A 19,310-nucleotide genomic window follows, 5' to 3' on the forward strand; every position below is an offset into this window, starting at 1 on the left:
TGGGAAGGATTTCCTATTTAATAAATGGTGTTGGGAAAACTGGCTAGCCATATGCAGAAAGCTGAAACTGGATGCCTTCTTTACACCTTATGCAAAAATTAACTCAAGATGGATTAAAGACTTAAACGTAAGACCTAAAATGACAAAAGCCCTAGAAGAAAACCTAGGCAATACCATTCAGGACATAGGCATGGGCAAAGACTTCATGACTAAAACACCAAAAGCAATGGCAACAAAAGCCAAAATAGACAAATAGGATCTAATTAAACTAAAAAGCTTCTGCACAGCAAAAGAAACTATCACCAGAGTGAACAGGCCACCTACAGAATGGGAGAAAAATTTTGCACTTCATCCATCTGACAAAGGGCTAATATCCAGAATCTACAAAGAACTTAGACAAATTTAGAAGAAAAAACAAAGAACCCCATCAAAAAGTGGGCAAAGTATATGAACAGACACTTCTCGAAAGAAGACATTTCTGTGCCCAACAAACATATGAAAAAAAGCTCATCATCACTGGTCATTAGAGAAACACAAATCAAAACCACAATGAGATACCATCTCACGCCAGTTAGAATGGTGATCATCAAAAAGTCAGGAAACAATAGATGCTGGAGAGGATGTGGAGAAATAGGAAAGCTTTTACACTGTTGGTGGGAGTGTAAATTAGTTCAACCATTGTGGAAGACAGTATGGTGATTCCTCAAGGATCTAGAACCAGAAATACCATTTGACCCACCAATCCCATTACTGGATATATACCGAAAGGATTATAAATCATTCTACTATAAAGACACATGCACATGTATGTTTATTGCAGCACTATTCACAATAGCAAAGACTTGGACCCAATCCAAATGCCCATCAATGACAGACTGGATAAAGAAAATGTGACACATACACACCATGGAATACTATGCAGCCATAAAAAAGGGATGAGTTCCTGTTCTTTGCAGGGACATGGATGAAGCTGGAAACCATCATTCTCAGCAAACTAATACAGGAGCAGAAAACCAAACACTGCATATTCTCACTCATAAGTAGGAGCTGAACAATGAAAACACATGGACACAGGGAGGGGAACATCACATATCAGCGCCTGTCGCAAGGTGAGGGGTTAGGGGAGAGATAGCATTAAGAGAAATACCTAATGTAGATGACAGCAAACCACCATGGCATGTGTATACCTACGTAACAAACCTTCACGTTCTGCACACGTATCCCAGAACTTAAAGTATATAAAACAAATACCAGCCCAAAGGCCCCCAAATTTTCCAGTAATAGCTTTAGAATTAAAGTTGCTATTTTCAACATTCCAATATACAATATTGTATGACTTATTGAAGGGGGGAAAAAGGGCAAACTGGAAGACTACATATGTTTCCCATATGTTTTATAACTATTTGGGAAATGATCTGGGTGGCTTGAGTAGAAATTCATCTTTTATACTTAAGAAACCTCTCGAAGTATTTACTCAACATCAATTATACTGCCTTCTTCATCTGCTTTGGAAATGATCCAAAATGCAATGCTTGAGGCCTTCGTGGTACCTTCACCACAAAGAGAAAACGCCTAGTTTTCTATTTATAGTTGTACACAACTTGTTTGCTTAGAAGAGTTGCTCATCATTTCTTAGAGCAAATCTCTGTCCAATTTTAAAATTTCAGCAATTTAGTTATCTCATTTAGGCAGTACAGCTGATGGACTCATGAAATTTTAATGCTAGAGAAAAATCCATGACCATCTAGTGAAAAGTGAGTTCACAGGTCAAATGATAAAATAGTGGCAGAGCTGAATCTGCAAGAGAAGTCTTTGGTAGGATTATTTTTCATATTATGATCCATTAGTGCATCATGAAATCAACTTAATGGAATATAGCTAGCATTCTCTAAAAAATGAAATAGAACAAAATAGAATGCATTAGATTAGACTCAGTGGAAAATATCCAAATGCACTTGCATGTAGTAAGAGAAACTCTTGTTTTGTGAAACTTTTGTTTCAATAATATCCATCCATCCATCCATCCATTCATTCTGAACATATACATACACCTATATATTCTACAAATTGGGTCACAATATAAAATATATTTCTTACTATGAGTAGCAATCAAAAATGTTTTAAACAAAAAGACTACCCATTCAGTTCCCTTTCCACAAAATCATGCTACCTTTGTAGAATGATGTAATAGCCTTACACAGTTGAGATGAAATCTTTAGAAGCTCTGTGAATAGACTTTAATTTTACAGTAGCTTATTATTGGATTACAATGTAGTACAGCAGTAATTTGATAAATCAGTGTTTGGAAAAGAGATAATCATTTCAGGGACAAGTTCAACCATTATCAGAAATCTACAAACTATTTTAATGATGCCAAAGCAATGAGACAAAGTCCAGTGTGGAAAATCCAGACTGCGTTTTGTCTCAGGAGTCCAGTACTGTCTCATATACCTCTTTCTGGTAGCCTGCATTAACTTGTTTTTGGTAGAGCTTTAGCACCAGGGCCATGCATAAACACAAAAGGCAATACTGAGGCCTATCTTGTGCAGGGATGGGCCTGCCATTGGATATTGTCCCATAATCATCCTACTACAAATCAAGTGCTAGTCCTTGACTGGTAGCATTAGGATAATCAGAGTAATTTGAAAAAAAATATTCCCAGGGTCTACCCTAGATATACTGAATCAGAATCTCTAGGGATGGAGGCTGGGAATCTAGATTTTTCAAAGGTTCCTTAGGTGGTTCTTCTGCAAATCCAGTTTTGAAGATACCTCCTATAGACTACGTTCCAGGTTTACTCCTTTCATTTTACTTTTTAAAAAATTGGCCTCCTTCCTTCATCTTTTCAATTTGATTTCACCTCAAAATCCTTGGAGGCATCCTTGACTCTTCCATTAATACCCCATATCCAATGAGGATATCCTCATGGCTCTGCCTTTAAAATATATTTAGAATCTTGCTACTTATCATCCACTACACTACTACCACCCCAGTCTAAACCACCATTATCTCTCACCAGGATTATTGCCACTGACTCTCTGCTTCCCTCTTACCCTACTTTGGTCAATTCTCAACATAGCAGTCAAGGTGATCCTTTCAAAACTGAAGTTACAACTTATCACTAATCTGCACAAAATTCCCATTGGCTCATCCTTTCAATGAAGGTATAAGCCCCTCTTATTTGCCCTATGAAGCTCAAAATATGAGGCCCTTGCCTCTCTGATCTCTTCTCCTACTATTATTTTCCTGGCCACACTGGCCTCTCTGGTTATTACTGGAATACATCAATCACACTCTTGCCTTTTCTGTTCCATCTACTATAAAAACTCTTTCCCCATATAACAGCATGACTAACTCAAGAAATCACCTTATATAAGTTATTACCAAATGTCATTTTCTCAGTGAGGCCTATCCTGACCATTCTATTTAAAAATGTAACCCATATTCCCTGTACTTCAAATTTCAGAGCTCCTCTATTCTGCTGTTTTTTTCCAAAGCACTTTTCATCTTCAAACTTATTACGTAAGTTTGAAGTTTACTTATTATAATTATTATTTATTTTTGTATCCTTGTATGTCAATTAGATCCTTGAAAGAAGGCATCTTTGCGTATTTTATTCACTGATATATCATTGTGAGAACATAGAACACTGCTCGGGACATAGTAGGTAATCAGTAAATAATTGGTAAATGAATGGTTTATTCATTTGGTGAATGAATAGTGAGGCTAACCAAAAGATTTGAAACTCTCTATCCATTCCAACTAGTAATAGAAATATCCAATTCCCATGGATCCATGATCCATGATCCTTACACGACCAATCCCTTTGGTGGCTAATTTTTTTCACCAATACTCTTAATTGTAATGATATTTAACAAAAGAATAGTCCAATGAAAATTTCAAATCCATTTCTTATATTTAAATCAAAGTAACTGAAAAGTAAAATTATAGCTAAATTCATAAGTCAATAACTTTGTATAAAAACACATTCTTATCATATATAGAAATTTTAAACACTGATCAAAATATTAGAAAAAATTATGTTTTCAATTAATGTAGTAACCTGGTGCTTGGCAGTTAAAGACATCTGGAGCAAAAAAGCATTTTCCTGTTTCTTCAGCAATCAAGGCATAGTCCACGTGGCTGAGTCCGCTGACAGCTGGCAAAAACAAGTTCCAGAGACCCTCGACTTTGGCCATTTCCTGTCAAGGTGATGAACATGCCAGAGTGACCATAATTTACCAGGACTCACAGTAGTTTATTTCTTTTTTTAAATATTGGTATTTATGATCTTTGAAATTTAAAAACACTTATGGAGTTATTTATTTTACTGTATTCTCCAGTGAGCAAAACCAAGTTCTTATTAATTCATTATAAATCAACAGTTTAACCATTAATAACATGTCTTTTCCTCCAAGCTTCCTTGGATTTGGCTGAAAAATTAAGTTTGCTACTTGAGAACTTCTTCTGGAATCAGAACTATTACAAAATCTCCCACATTTGAGTATGATATGCCAAATATACTACTTTGTGCATTTTAATTTCTTACATGAATTGATGTTAAGATTTGAAAAACATGAAATTTGGATTAATTCTATGTGGGACAAATGCCCTGCCTTGACTTCAGTCTCAATTCAGTGATGGCTAATAATGAATAGTTTTAATCATATTTTTTCCTTTGAACAGTTGTAAGAGGTTGTCTTCATTACTACCATATATAGAACACTACCTAGCCTAATTTGTATGTTATAGATTCTATTTATTAACTTTCTTTTTTTAAAGGTTATTATTGATATAATTTTCTTCTACATATATAACAATAGCAACAACAAAACTAAGGTCTAGGATCTCAAAAAACACTTGCATATGAATTTTCTAGCGTTAAAGATTTTCTTACCTTGAGTTTATCAATCACTAAAGGTTTTCCCCACTTGTCCACTGAATTTTCATTTTGAACATAGAACTCAGTTACCTCCTTAAAGTAATAAAAGAAAAAAATTTCACTAGCTAAAGTTAATACAAAGTAAACAATGTCATAAACTGCTAATATCTAAAATAAACATTTTTAGGTGAAGATGCTTTTTCAGCTATTATTAAACCAGACACAGAAGCATAAAACATTCTAAAGGTTTGCTGATCACAAAATCATGCTGCCACAATATTAGATAGTAGGCTACTAAAATCTTATACCAAGATTTGAGTGTTTCATTTCTAGCAATATGACAAACTAGATAGTCATAGAAACTGCTCAACTAAAAATGTTGGGTAAAATATTAAAAATAGTTTTAAAATACATTTATTAATACATAGCTGTGCTGGAAGGAAAATGAGAAAATTCCTTGGAGGCCAGAAACAAAAAAGCCTGACTCTTCAAGTGTGAGCACACATTGCAGCCAAGTTTGTCCAGGGCATATAGGCTGATCTATGTTAGCCCTGTTACACCCTAGGTTTTAATGGGCCACATAGGCAGGAGTCAGACATAGTCAAATGCCCCAAACATGGCAAGAGGGAGGATCAAAGATCAGCTCTTTCCTCCACCAAAGCTAGGCTGCTTGATGGGTAAAACCTAAGTGGAAGAAAATTTAAAAAGCAAAAACAAACAAACAGAAAACCCACCCCTCAGAGGTAGACCATGGGAATACAGGCCTTTATATAGGTCTTAGCTCTGGCTGGAATAGACAAAATAAACATTCTAACTGAAGTCTGTTTTCACCCAAGTTTGGGACTGAATTCACAGACTTATGGGGCATTAAACTTTAAGCCAAAATTTAAGTTTACAGTGTTTCTGGTGACAGTGCCTGCTAATACCTGGCAGATGCGAAAACAAATCCTATCTGTAGGAAAGAGCTTTAAACAAAGCCTTAAATAACTTTCACAGATAAAATTCCAGAACATGAGTTCAAAATAAAAAACTATTTATCACTCAAGGAAACAAGCCACCATTAGTAAGAGTTAGCAAAAACAATCATTCACCAAGATGGAATTGCACTTCCCAAAGACTATAAATAGAGTAATGATCAGTCACAGGACATAAACTATTTGTGTTTAATAGATTTCAAGAATAAAGGAAGAAATTAAAAGTATAACAAAGGACTATCAAAAGTGACCAGGCACATTTGAAAAAGAATTGAATAAAATCTAAGGAAAGGAAAACCATAGAGATGAAACTTAAAAACTCTATGGCAGTGATTCCCAAATTTTGGTGGCTCTCAGAATCTCCTGGGGAACTTGATAAAAATATGGGGGCCTAAGCTTTGTCCTACTTCAATGAACCTGCACTTCTGTGTCCTTTACTAGCTTAAGCAATTCTCACACACTCCAAAATTTGAAAACAGTTACTCTGTGGATGTTGAAAAATAGATTAGATAACAGCTGAAAAAACAAATCATAAATTGGAAGAAAGACCTGAAGAAATTACTCAGAATGATGCACAGAAACTCAAAAGAAGGCAAATATGAGTGGTAAAGGAATATAATGAATTCAAAAAGAAGTTCTAACACAAGTCTAATTGGAGTCCCAGACATAAAGAATAAAGAGAGAGGCAATATTTGGAAAAATTACTCTTAAAAGTTTTCGGAACTGATAAGACAGCAATCCTCAAATTCGGAAAGCCAATGAAGCCAGAGCATAGTAAAACTACAGAACATTAAAGAGAAAGAAAAGCTCTTAGAAAGAGGAGGTTGCCTCCTTAGCGCAGTAGGGCAGTGCATCAGTCTCATAATCTGAAAAAGAGAAAGAAGAGGGGAAAAAAGAAAGATTACTGATAATTAAACAACAGTTAAGATTGAGAGCTGACTTCTCAAAGCAACAAATGAAGCCAGAAATCACTGGGATAATAGCTTCAATTGCTGAGAGAAAATAACTGTCATTGTAAAATTCTATATGCAATGAAACTATCTTTCACGAACTAGGGCAAAATAAAGGTATTAACAATAAGTAAAGTCATTGCCACCTCTCCCCAGCAAGAAAAAAGGAAAACAACAACAAAAAAGATAAACAAAGGAAAGGGAAAAGTTTACTCGCACATTCACACTAAAGGAACTTGACCTAGAAGAAACATCTGAGTTGCAAGAAGGAATAGTAAATAAATAAAATGATAAATAGGTAGGTAAACTTAAAATTTGAAACTATAATCCCAGCATTTTGGGAGGCCAAGGTGGGCAGATTACTTGAGGTCAGAAATTTGACACTAGCCTGGCCTACCTGTCTTTACCAAATGAAACATAATGAAACCCTGTCTTTACCAAAATACACAAAAATTAGCTGAGTGTGGTGGCACATGGCTATAGTCCCAGCTACTCAGGAGGCTGAGGCGGGAGAATCACTTGAACCCAGGAAGCAGAGGTTGCAGTGAGCCGAGATTGCCCCACCCCACTGCAGCCTGGGTGACAGAATGAGACTCTGTCTCAAAAAAAAAAAAAAAAAAGCCACATAAAACAATAACAATCACTAATTTGTACAACTAAAAGAATATAGAACAAAAATATTGGAGTATAACAGCATTTTCCAATATTTTGCTATTATAGTATCTCTGTATGTTTCTACACTTAGGCTAGTGGTATTACTTACAAACATTGTCAAAACTCTTAACCCATATTATCAAATTATTTTCCAAATCATTCTATCAATTTACACTCATATAACAATGTACTAAAATGTTCCTTTCATTGAAGCATGGCTAGTCTAGAGTATTGCAGTATTTAATGAAAACCTCAAGAAGGCAAAGGTCTGCTCTTTCAAAGGCACCAGGATGAACAGCCCTTCTCATTTCTGTCAGGAAGTCCGTTAAATTGGAAGATTTCCTGTTTGGGGTTGTTTATTATTTCCATCCCTCATATTGCCTTGGAAATATTCAATGCTACTGTGTTTGATAAGAAATATATTATGCAGTACATTTCTCATTTTCTAATCTCTGACCACCTTTTCTCATCTCTGACCACAGTTTGAAGAAATTAAATTATGCCAGTGTTTATATAATTTTAAAATTTGTATTATTTAATACTTTGAGTTCTAAATTTTATCCATTTAGATATCTGCAAAGTTTATTTGTGGCACGGTAGGACTCAAAATTAAATAAAATTCCTCATTATAAAGAACCCTTCTTTGGTTCTTAAAGTAAGAAAAGTAATTTATTAGTTAATAGCCAAAAGCAGAAACTATGCTTGGTGCCTGGTCAATCTTCCCAAAATATCACCTGTAGCATACTGCGTCCTCACTCACTGACAGAGATACTAATTTTGAGTATGTTGGTTGGTTCAGCATCTTAAATCTGAGCCTACAAATAATTTTGCAAAATGTTTTTCATTTTAAACTGAAGTCTACTAGAAAGAAGCAACAGTTCATCCTTAGTATATTAGACTCAGCAGGAAAGTATGATTAATGTTACCATTATGTTAAAAGTGTGTTCTCACTGTGTTATGTTGCTAGTTCCTGTTTTACATGCTATTTTTAGGATTTCTTACCCATTTTAAATTGGCTTAAACTGGCTTTTAATATTTTCCAATTGGAAGAATTGGCTTTTAATATTTTCATAGATAAGGGTTATGCTCTCACTTTATAATATTCAAGGAGTTTCAAAAGGTCATTAGAATAGTTTAAATGAAGCTTATGTTTTCTCACTATAGAAAATTTGAAAATATCTAAAAATATAAAGAAAAAGTCATGAAGCGTCTCAGTGGTTAAAGACAAGTGCTGTTAAAGTATTGTATTATATGATACAACCTATTTTCTAGAAATGACTGTTTTGGTTTTTGTAAGCTTAGTTATAATAATGTTGGATAGAATCTTATATAGATTTTTCCCTCTTTGATTTTGAAAAAGCTATTTACTTTTCTCCAAATATAATCTCCAAATAACATCCTCTAACATGTTACACAGAGATTTGTATTGTTCACTATCATTCTACAGGATAAAACGTTTTTATAGATGTTGGTACAGTACGATTTTTTTTTTCAATTTTTTTAAAAGAAGAAAAAGCTCACATTATCAGATATGGTTATGTCTCAGATTTAAAGGATCTTCAAAGACAAATGATTGTGGCTTTTCTGGTCACACAAAACATTGGCAATCTTCCCTTTAAAGCTATAGGCTGCTTTTTTATTTATCTTAAAGCACTTCTTTTTATTGCAAATTTTTTGTACATATTTCAATAGCTGCATGACACAAAGTTCAGCAGAGTATCACAACCCAACCTGTGACACCTCTTCTGTGCTGCAGTTTCTCTTATATGCTTATTCACATTTACCAATGAAAGAACAAGCCTGCCTGGTTTCCTCTGCCAATTCTGGCCTCTCCTCTGAATGATGGGCTGATTGCAAGTACTAGCATGCTATCAGATAGGCTTCATTTTAGAGAAAGTAGGTAGGAATCAGGCAGTAATCAGGGAGGACAGACAACCTGGGATTTCTGCCCAATCCCCACCACCCCCCACCACCCTCCCCCACCCCCGAAAAAAGAAAAGTTGTTCAGGTGCAGGTGCTCACACCTGTAATCCCAGCGCTCTGGGAGGCTGAGGTGGGAGGATTGCTTGAAGCCAGTAGTTCTGGGCAACAGAGTGAGACCAGGTCTCTACAAAAAAATGTAAAATTTAGCCCGGTATGGTGGCATATTCCTGTAATCCCAGCTACTCAGGAGGCTGAGTTGGGTGGTTTGCTTGAGCCCTGGAGTTTGAGGCTGCAGTGAGATAGCATCACATCACACACTCTAGCTTGGAGACACAGCAAGACCCTGTCTCTTGAAGGAAAAAAAAAAAAAAGGCCGGGCGTGGTGGCTCACACCTGTAATCCCAGCACTTTGGGAGGCTGAGGTGCGCGGATCACGAGGTCAGGAGTTCGAGACCAGCCTGGCCAATATGGTGAAACTCCATCCCTACTAAAAATACAAAAATTAGCCAGGCTTGGTGGCAGGCACCTGTAGTCCCAGCTACTTGGGAGGCTGAGGCAGAAGAATCGCTTGAACCCAGGAGGCGGAGGTTGCAGTGGGCCGAGATGGTGCCACTGCACTCCAGCCTGGGCAACAGAGCAAGACTCCATTAAAAAAAAAAAGCCAAAACATGGAGGACCCTCCTCTAGGGCACTAAATCTCATGTTGAAGCCCTGGCTTCTTTGAAACAGATCATTTGCTTTTTTGTCGTTGTTGAGACAGGGTCTCACTGTTGCCCAGGCTGGAGTGCAGTGGCGCAATCTCGGCTCCCTGCAACCTCTGCCTCCCAGGTTCAAGCAATCCTCCCACCTCAGCCTCCCGAGTAGCTGGGACTATAGGTGTGCAGCACGCCGGGCTAATTTTTGTATTTTTAGTAGAGATTGGGTTTATGCCATGTTGCCCAGGCTGGTCTCAAACTCCTGGGCTCAAGCCATCCACCAACCTCGCCCTCCCACAGTGCCGGGATTACAGGCTTGAGCCAGCACACTGGTCCATTTGCATTTTTTGGAGTGCTGTTGCAGCCTTCTGCCTGGGGGCAAACACCATTGCTATAACAGGTTATAAGAGACCAACCGAAGCAGTCGTCCACCTGCAGGTAATTCTTAAATCAAACATCTTGATTTCTTTTCCTCTTCTCATTTTTGCTTTCTATATAAGCCAATCACAGTGGACTCCACTGTGGGAAAATGGTTACCACTTGTGCTACAGACTTCTTTCAAACTTCTTCTGAGATATGGCTTCTATTGTTAGATTATTCTAGGGGCTAATCCATTCTGCTTTCCAAATCTAATTTCCATTCTCTTTTCAAAACCTTAATTCCTCTGATATGTCCCTCTTCTGTTTTCAAGCTTATACCAATTTATTCCATTTTATAAAAAAACTTATTATTTATTAAATTGGATTTTATTTGAGGGAGGGGAGGACAATGTTGAATTCACACTGCTATCTTAACCTAAAAGTGTTGCATTCCCTTTTTAATACTCAAGAGTTCACAGTTTTAAAAATCAGAATTGAACAAACACTAACTAGATCAGAAAATATTCAAGATACTTCAGTCACTAAACACATGTGAGAGGTGACTATTTTAGAAAGAATTTCCTCACTTTAAGTAGTATTTTTTAAAGAAATTATACCCTATTCTGTGAGCAAAGTTAATCTCAAGCCAGATATTTACTAAAAATATAATAATTATTTATATAATTCAAGCAACAGCACAAACTGTCCTACAAACACATATCAGCTCTGAACATTTCTGTTAAAAGGATTTTGGTCTCTTTCAGTTCCCTATTTGATTTTACCAGGCTAGCTGTAGACCTCTCAGAATCATAGATGATTAAAATGAGAATGTGTTATATATTTAGTCATACCTACTCACATTGTAGAGGAAAAAACTGAGGCCACGCAAGACCATCTAACACAAGGCCACCAAACTTGTGACAGGGATAGACTAGAATAAAGCCATTAGCATTTCTACACCAGTGTTCTACCCACATATAAACAGCCTGCCCCAACTCCCTTACATATTTTTGTAAAAGCTTTTATCTTTTCTTCACAACATTTATCATCTCTTATTTAGTGTCTTCCTTTCCTGCTAAAGTCTAAGCTTCACATGAGCATAAGCCCTGTATGTCTTATTATCTATTTACATTCTGTAGCTTTCCAGGTGCCTAAGCATCATCAAGTACCCAATAATTATTTGGTAACTGAATGAATGAATGTTCCATATTGCCTCTCTACTCTCAGTGAACTTATTGAAACTTAATGCCTTAAAATAGTAGCTTATAGGAAGAGGGGTGGTAGTATCTGTGAACAGCTTGAAATGATATGTAAAATTCTCTAGGTGTGTCCATCTTGTATAGTCTACACTTCTCATTAAATTCTCAAAGGGGTCCATATTTACAAAAAAAAAAAAGCTGAAACTTACTGCCTTAGGACAAGGCCCCCAAAGTAGTGTTTTACTCTAACATAGTTAGGCTCCCAATGTTAAAACTACTAATTCTCTTTGGCTTAATTTTAATGCCACAGACTTATCTGTGCATTCCCTTTGTTCTATCGTGGCTTAGTTCTAAGGTGAGAAGAAGAATCTAGGTAAGGATTGACTAAAGAAAATGACACCATGCTTCTCCTATAAGCAGAAATAACAAAAGTATTCATTGATAGTCCTTTAGCAGAAATACATTCTGCTTATATAATACTCACCTTTTCAGCTGGAAGAATGTGTTGTTTCATGAAATGCTTCACCTTAATAAGAACTTCCTGACCTTTCCGAGTCTGTACAAACAACTGTCCAGTAGTATCAATCTGTGGTAGTACAGTACTGAAAGTTCTTTGCCAAAAGAAAAAAGGAAAAAAAGGTTACAAAGATGTCCAAAGATCATTATTACATATTTCTAATATAATGTGAAGTTTCCTCAGCTACCCAAAAAACATCCCCCAGAAGGAGTAGCTGTATTTTATATTTTAAAAAAGTCTTCCATATTATGGACTGAATGCAGAATCACTTCCATTTTAAACATTTAACTTTAATGCTTAAAGCACTATTTGGGGAAAACATATAGGCCTGGCATCACCTCAAGCAATGTTAGTGATAGATGCAGGAGGCACAGGGTCTTGTCTGGACATGCCCACAATGGACTGGGGGCCTGCCTGCACACTGGGGGAATGGGGTGGAGCCACCGGGAATTCGCGCCTTATGCAAGGGGAGGAGCCTGGCCTCTTTAGCTCAAGTGTGGTAGCCTGGTATTCAATGTGTGAGGTGGGCGCCTGTTGGCAGGACCCCCCCTTTCTTTGCTGAGAGCTTTCTTTTCGCTTAATAAATCGGCCCTCCTCATCCTTTAATGTGTCTGTGTGCCTAATTTTTCCTGTGAGACGAGAACCTGGATTTTAGCTGAACTAAGGAGCAAAAAATCCCGCTTCATTAGTTTTGAATCTTTATTGAAGTCACCCGTCAGAATCTCCAGAAGAAAAAGCAAAGAAGTTGAATTGAACACAAATAATCATTATTCTTACTATTAATATATGCCTCACAAATATAGCTGCTGAATATTAGATCTGTAGAACAGAAAACCAAACACTGCATGCTCTCACTCGTAAGCGGGAGTTGAACAAACCACCATGGCACATACATACCTATGTAACAAACCTGCAGGCTCTGCACATTTATCCCGGAACTTAAAATAAATTAAAATAAAATAAAGAAGACCTGTAAAGGTCATTATGAAGCACAACAGAATCAATTGTTATGGTGTAGAGAGAACAAATACCCATCTATAAGATAAATTGGAAAAAAGCAATTGTCCTAACATTATGCCATGGGTACTTGTGGGTTAAGCAGAATTTCTGGGACAGCATCACACATGCATCTGGTAAGCAATGGGAATGAAACTGGCAAAGTGTGTTCGATGCCTGAAAAAGTGCTCTGCTGATGAAGACATGGGTTTCAAAGATGCTTATGAAATGTCTGAATATAACTTCATGAAATGTAACAGTGGAAAAGAACAATATTTCTAAATTAATAAATCATCTTATATAATGCATTTTTAAAATTAGATATATGTAAGTGACTTAAATATTAGAAAGAAACACTTGAGAGTTTTATCTATATCCTTAAACATTTACACAATCAAGTGGCACAAAAATACTTTTAAACCTAAATACGGAGATTTTCTTTATATTTTAGGTCAATTTGTTTTTAGGCATAGAAGAGATTTACCAAAAATCTATTGTGATTGGCAGCAGCAATCCTGGTGTATGCAATAAAAATAATCCCTACTCCCCTAAAGTGTATAACCTTCACATACCCAATAAAGGCTCTAATTTGAGTTAGCCAAGGAATCTGTTTTCCTTACCGTTTGGAGAGTTGTAGTCCAGTTTCTGCCAGAGGTTGCACAATATTGGCAAATAAAAAGCTATCCTCAGATGAATTATTTCCCAGAAGATATCTGCTATATACTCCCTATAAATAAACATAGAACAATTAAAATTCATTGAAAACCGTCCTTCAACAATCCAATCAATCTTTCCAGTTTCTCAGTTATATGTGACATTATACTCACAGGGTATGAAGACGTAAAACAGACTATCGACGATATTAATGTACATGCAGGGGTAATTACACCCTTCTAAAGAGTCATACTCATATCATACAGTTCACATACTCTCATCCTAACATAATTCTAATTTATAATCAAATCAAACTTGCAAATGATCTCAGCAGTTACCAAAGATACCAAGTCTGCAAGTTATTTCACCTCTAAAGATCACTACCCTCCTTCATAATGGGGGAAAATCTAAAGAAACAAAAATAAGATTTAAAAAACTATAAAATCAAAAGGAAGACAATGAGACGATCTCTAAGAACATTTTATCTCATTTTTGGGTCCCTAATGCAGGTAAAACTGTCTCTTTCAAACAGTGTTAGTTGAATGCTAATCAGTGTTTCTTTGATAATTCTCCATTTCTGTACTTTCAACATAATAAACTCCTTCCTCTTCCCTAAAAACAAACATCACTGTGTCTTCTTTATATAATTCCTTATATAATAAAACACTGTAATAAATAAAACACTGTAATAGTTCTTCCATCATATTCAATTTTATATTTCCAATTAGATTGGAATGTTTATGACCATCTCCAAAGCTACTACATGTACAGTATATATAGTTTATGTTGTACATTATTTTTTTGAGATGGAGCCTCACTCTGTCGCCCAGGCTGGAGTGCAGTGGCATGATCTCAGCTCAGTGCAACCTCCACCTCCCAGGTTCAAGCAATTCTCCTGCCTCAGCCTCCTGAGTAGCTGGGACTACAGGCCCACATGCCGCCACACCTGGCTAATTTTTTATTTTTAGTAGATACGGGGTTTCACCATGTTGGCCAGGCTGGTCTCGAACTCCTGACCTCAGGTGATCCACCCACCTCGGCCTCCCAAAGTGCTGGGATTACAGGCGTGAGCCACCGTGCCTGGCCTATGTTGTACATTTTAATGTCAATCATAATCCATGTCAAACTTTTATTGGAAATGAAAAGCCATTTCAAATTTAAAGCCTATTTGGTATCTTATTTGTGGAAACTGTCAAACACAGAGACATACCCATTTTGAGAAACCCATTCTTTTAACATGATTAACTCAGGGTACAAGATGAGATGTAACACAACTATTTCAGTTGTTCATGGATAGCATGAACTCTGAGGACAGAAAATAAATTATCATAATTTTCCTTAATCCTTCTTTTCCCATTATTTTTCACTTCTAAACTTATTTACCTGTTTTTCTTCTAAACCCTAGCCCCTTGCTATTGATGAAGCATCTCAATTTCTTAAATCTCCAAGATTCAAAGTGCCTGAAAACTGGATTAGTATAAAGAAGAAGCCATTTGTTTAGATTACAATGTAATTAGAAAAAAACCCTAAATTTATGCTCTATTATCTTTCAAAATTAATCACACAAATATGACGATGAAAATAAAAAAATCTTACTCATCTACTTACTCAAAAACATTTTAAGAGGTTACTGTATACTAGATACTGTGCTAGCCTCTGGGAAGTATAAAGATAATTCTTCCCTCATCATCAACCCTAACTAATAAATGGTTTCATAGTCTGAGGCAGAGATCATCAAAAGATTTTAGCTTTTTCTCACACTGGATATTCAGGAAATGACTAATCCTTACTAATCCTTTTTAACATTATGTCATTCTTCCTCCATCCATCTTGTAAGTTTATTATACAAAAAACTGATAATACATTTTGCTACTCAAATTTTTTCCTTGCCAAATTCCTATTCTGTAAATTCTGGATTTATATTTTACCTATGTCTGATACCTGTCATTATGATAAGCCAAATGATCTAAGGATAAAGAATATAAAACCCGGAAGACTGGAAAACATTGTCAACAGTACACTGGTAAATAATGGCGAAACACACGTTTAAAACAATTAATTACCTGTGCTATTCCAGCCATCTTAAAATATGAAAGGGCAAGAAAGAAATTCCAGTTAGGAAGAATAGAATTAATTCCCCTGCAGCGGCAATATATTGAAATCAGTTCTTCCATTGATGGTATCCCTATAAAAACAGCATGTAATATAAACTTTAATTAAAATGTCGTGGTGAATATTTCAAAATGTTATGAGACTGAGACGCATATGTAAAACGGAATGTAATAACCATTAGCCCTTACAACAAAACATGTTCTAAATCTTGATTTCCAAAAGATTATTATATACAAAGGATTATATTTGGTCGTAAATTACTAAAAGTGGCATGCTAAGTTCAGAAAATTTAACGAAGAAAATGAAATAGGCCAGTCACGATGGCTCATGCCTATAATCCTAGCACTTTGCGGGGGCCGAGGATCACTTGACAGCAGGAGCTTAAAACTAGCCTGGGTAACATAGTGAGACACCATCTCTACAAAAAATAAAAAAATTAGCTGGGCATGGTGGTGTGTGCCTGTAGTCCTAGCTACTCAGAAGGCTGAAGTGGGAGAATCACTTGAGCCCAGGAGTTCAAGGTTTCAGTGAGCTATGATTGTGGCACTGTACTCCAGCCCGGGTGACAGAGCAAGACCTTGCATCTAAAAAACACCAACATGGCCCATGTATACATGTGTAAAAAACGTGCACGTTGTGCACATGTACCCTAAAACTTAAAGTATAATAAAAATAAATTAAAAAAAAGAATTATCTTCAACAAAAAAATAAAATAAAAATAAAAATCATAATAAAATAGAAATGTTTAAGAAACAAAAACTATTATCTAAAATTGCAAGATTTATATTTTAATTATGAAAGTAATAAAGACAGTTTTATATTAATAGCAATTTAGACAACATTATGTTTTTATACCTGAGTTTTCACTATAAGAACCTTGATTTATCATTGGAACTGTCCTTGGCCAAAAGTAGAACAGGGAAAAATGAGCTAAGTCTGACAAAGGATGACCAATGGTTGACAGCTCCCAATCCAGCACTGCTATAACTCGACACTGTAATTAAAAATAAAGAGGTCTGTAACACATTAAAACTTAAAACAAGTATAATAAAGAAATAAATAACATTGAACACATTCAAAATCATGTTTTCCATCAAAAGTCAATTTCAGGTCTTTACCCACAGTGGCATATCTCATTTATAAAATAGCCAATTAGCCTTGATTATATAGAGCTAAGTCCTCTGGTTCCATCGCTGGCCATCAGTCCTTCTCATTTTACTTTACACAGCCTTAATATCTCTGCTAATGAGCAGATGCAAAAGCAGTTAAAACTTCTCAACTGGAAGTAATTGTGATAAAAAGGAATTATAGTGAATTACTTATATTTTAATAATCCATGTTATGCATCATTAAACATTTACTTTAGTAATTAATCTAACTGTATAACAAATGTACTACTCCATCCATGGTACTTTTAAAAGTTATTTCATGTTGTAGATACAAAGCATAATTGTTATAAAAGATACTGTTAGTTTTATAAATATAAAATCCACCATTATATAGCAACATAAAACAATCATGTAATGTGGAACCAATAAAACAGAAAGCTTCCCTCATTCTACCTTGTAACAGTATGTATCAAGGGAATATATATATATGTATTTTTTTTTTTTTTTGAGACGGAGTCTCGCTCTGTCTCCCAGGCTGGAGTGCAGTGGCGCGATCTCTGCTCACTGCAAGCTCCGCCTCCCGGGTTCACACCATTCTCCTGCCTCAGCCTCCCGAATAGCTGGGACTACAGGTGCTCGCCACCACGCCCGGCTAATTTTTTTTGTATTTTTACTAGAGACAGGGTTTCACCATGTTCGCCAGGATGGTCTCGACCTCCTGACCTCATGATCCGCCCGCCTTGGCCGCCCAAAGGGAATATATATCTTCATATTAAGAATACAGGACATTCTTTTGTTCATTTCTTATGTTCATTTGGCTGTACATATGGCCAAAAAATCAATTTGTAGAATAGTATATAGCGTATGATCCAATTTATGCTTAAAGAAAAAGATTATAGTTTGAAGTCAGGTAGCATGATGCCTCCAGCTTTGTTCTTTTGGCTTAGAATTGACTTGGCAATGCGGGCTCTTTCTTGGTTCCATATGAACTTTAAAGCAGTTTTTTCCAATTCTGTGAAGAAAGTCATTGGTAGCTTGATGGGGATGGCATTGAATCTATAAATTACCTTGGGCAGTATGGCCATTTTCACAATATTGATTCTTCCTATCCATGAGCATGGAATGTTCTTCCATTTGTTTGTGTCCTCTTTTATTTCATTGAGCAGTGGTTTGTAGTTCTCCTTGAAGAGATCCTTCACATCCCTTGTAAGTTGGATTCCTAGGTATTTTATTCTCTTTGAAGCAATTGTGAATGGGAGTTCACTCATGATTTGGCTCTCTGTCTGTTATTGGTATATATGAATGCTTGTGATTTTTGCACATTGATTTTGTATCCTGAGACTTTGCTGAAGTTGCTTATCAGCTTAAGGAGATTTTGGGCTGAGACGACAGCGTTTTCTAGATATACAGTCATGTCATCTGCAAACAGGGACAATTTGACTTCCTCTTTTCCTAATTGAATACCCTTTATTTCTTTCTCCTGCCTGATTGCCTGGCCAGAACTTCCAACACTATGTTGAATAGGAGTGGTGAGAGAGGGCATCCCTATCTTGTGCCAGTTTTCAAAGTGAATGCTTCCAGTTTTTGTCCATTCAGTATGATATTGGCTGTGGGTTTGTCATAGATAGCTCTTATTATTTTGAGATACGTCCCATCGATACCTAATTTATTGAGAGTTTTTAGCATGAAGGGTTGTTGAATTTTGTCTAAAGCCTTTTCTGCATCTCTTGAGATAATCATGTGGTTTTTGTCTTTGGTTCTGTTTCTATGCTGGATTATGTTTACTGATTTGCGTATGTTGAACCAGCCTTGCATCCCAGGGATGAAGCCCACTTGGTCATGGTGGATAAGCTTTTTGATGTGCTGCTGGATTCCGTTTGCCAGTATTTTATTGAGGATTTTTGCATCGATGTTCATTAGGGATATTGGTCTAAAATTCTCTTTTTTTGTTGTGTCTCTGCCAGGCTTTGGTATCAGGATGATGCTGGCCTCATAAAATGAGTTAGGGAGGATTCCCTCTTTTTGTATTGATTGGAATAGTTTCAGAAGGAATGGTACCAGCTCCTACAAGGCTACAGTAACCAAAACAGCATGGTACTGGTACTAAAACAGAGTAATAGACCAATGGAACAGAACAGAGCCCTCGGAAATAATACCACACATCTACAACTATCTGATCTCTGACAAACCTGACAAAAACAAGAAATGGGGAAAGGATTCCCTATTTAATAAATGGTGCTGGGAAAACTGGCTAGCCATATGTAGAAAGCTGAAACTGGATCCCTT

General features: G+C 36.3%; 1 protein-coding gene and 1 long non-coding RNA gene across 5 annotated transcripts in view, besides 5 other annotated features; both read right to left on the reverse strand.

Moving 5' to 3' along the window:
- NPHP3-ACAD11 (NPHP3-ACAD11 readthrough (NMD candidate)) overlaps nt 1-19,310 on the reverse strand; it is a 164,322-nt gene that overhangs the window by 56,433 nt on the left and 88,579 nt on the right. Inside the window, exons 31-37 of the long non-coding RNA NR_037804.1 lie at nt 16,771-16,909; nt 15,867-15,988; nt 13,770-13,876; nt 12,121-12,247; nt 6,562-6,722; nt 4,898-4,975; nt 4,064-4,202 (exon numbers count right to left, since the gene is read on the reverse strand). This is a non-coding gene — a long non-coding RNA (NPHP3-ACAD11 readthrough (NMD candidate)). The remainder of the gene's footprint in view (nt 1-4,063; nt 4,203-4,897; nt 4,976-6,561; nt 6,723-12,120; nt 12,248-13,769; nt 13,877-15,866; nt 15,989-16,770; nt 16,910-19,310) is intronic.
- ACAD11 (acyl-CoA dehydrogenase family member 11) overlaps nt 1-19,310 on the reverse strand; it is a 101,669-nt gene that overhangs the window by 56,430 nt on the left and 25,929 nt on the right. For 3 of the 4 annotated variants that reach the window (NR_132427.2, NR_132426.2, NM_032169.5), the window contains exons 6-11: nt 16,771-16,909; nt 15,867-15,988; nt 13,770-13,876; nt 12,121-12,247; nt 4,898-4,975; nt 4,064-4,202 (exon numbers count right to left, since the gene is read on the reverse strand). Coding sequence is in view for 1 of the 4 variants with exons in the window: in NM_032169.5 (NP_115545.3) it covers nt 4,064-4,202; nt 4,898-4,975; nt 12,121-12,247; nt 13,770-13,876; nt 15,867-15,988; nt 16,771-16,909 (712 nt within the window). In the remaining 3 variants the exon portion in view is untranslated. The remainder of the gene's footprint in view (nt 1-4,063; nt 4,203-4,897; nt 4,976-12,120; nt 12,248-13,769; nt 13,877-15,866; nt 15,989-16,770; nt 16,910-19,310) is intronic. The other variant, NR_132428.2, reaches the window with a different exon arrangement.
- Nucleotides 3,588-4,787: an enhancer, noted in NCBI's record as "BRD4-independent group 4 enhancer chr3:132337002-132338201 (GRCh37/hg19 assembly coordinates)". NCBI's record gives its function as "activates an origin of replication core promoter dependent on BRD2, P300/CBP, MED14 and CDK7 cofactors, and independent of BRD4, by STARR-seq in HCT116 cells {active_cell/tissue: HCT116}" and the evidence as "EXISTENCE:reporter gene assay evidence [ECO:0000049][PMID:35650434]".
- Nucleotides 11,140-11,189: a silencer, noted in NCBI's record as "silent region_14742". NCBI's record gives its function as "represses an Ori minimal core promoter by ATAC-STARR-seq in GM12878 lymphoblastoid cells {active_cell/tissue: GM12878}" and the evidence as "EXISTENCE:reporter gene assay evidence [ECO:0000049][PMID:35858748]".
- Nucleotides 12,105-12,606: an enhancer, noted in NCBI's record as "H3K4me1 hESC enhancer chr3:132345519-132346020 (GRCh37/hg19 assembly coordinates)". NCBI's record gives its function as "activates a minimal SCP1, AML or CMV promoter by ChIP-STARR-seq in naive H9 embryonic stem cells {active_cell/tissue: H9 hESC(naive)}" and the evidence as "EXISTENCE:reporter gene assay evidence [ECO:0000049][PMID:30033119]".
- Nucleotides 12,607-13,106: an enhancer, noted in NCBI's record as "H3K4me1 hESC enhancer chr3:132346021-132346520 (GRCh37/hg19 assembly coordinates)". NCBI's record gives its function as "activates a minimal SCP1, AML or CMV promoter by ChIP-STARR-seq in naive H9 embryonic stem cells {active_cell/tissue: H9 hESC(naive)}" and the evidence as "EXISTENCE:reporter gene assay evidence [ECO:0000049][PMID:30033119]".
- Nucleotides 15,344-16,543: an enhancer, noted in NCBI's record as "P300/CBP strongly-dependent group 1 enhancer chr3:132348758-132349957 (GRCh37/hg19 assembly coordinates)". NCBI's record gives its function as "activates an origin of replication core promoter dependent on BRD2, BRD4, P300/CBP, MED14 and CDK7 cofactors, with strong dependence on P300/CBP, by STARR-seq in HCT116 cells {active_cell/tissue: HCT116}" and the evidence as "EXISTENCE:reporter gene assay evidence [ECO:0000049][PMID:35650434]".

Source organism: Homo sapiens, chromosome 3 (genome assembly GCF_000001405.40).
Source record: "Homo sapiens chromosome 3, GRCh38.p14 Primary Assembly".
Classification (NCBI taxonomy): Eukaryota; Metazoa; Chordata; class Mammalia; order Primates; family Hominidae; genus Homo; species Homo sapiens.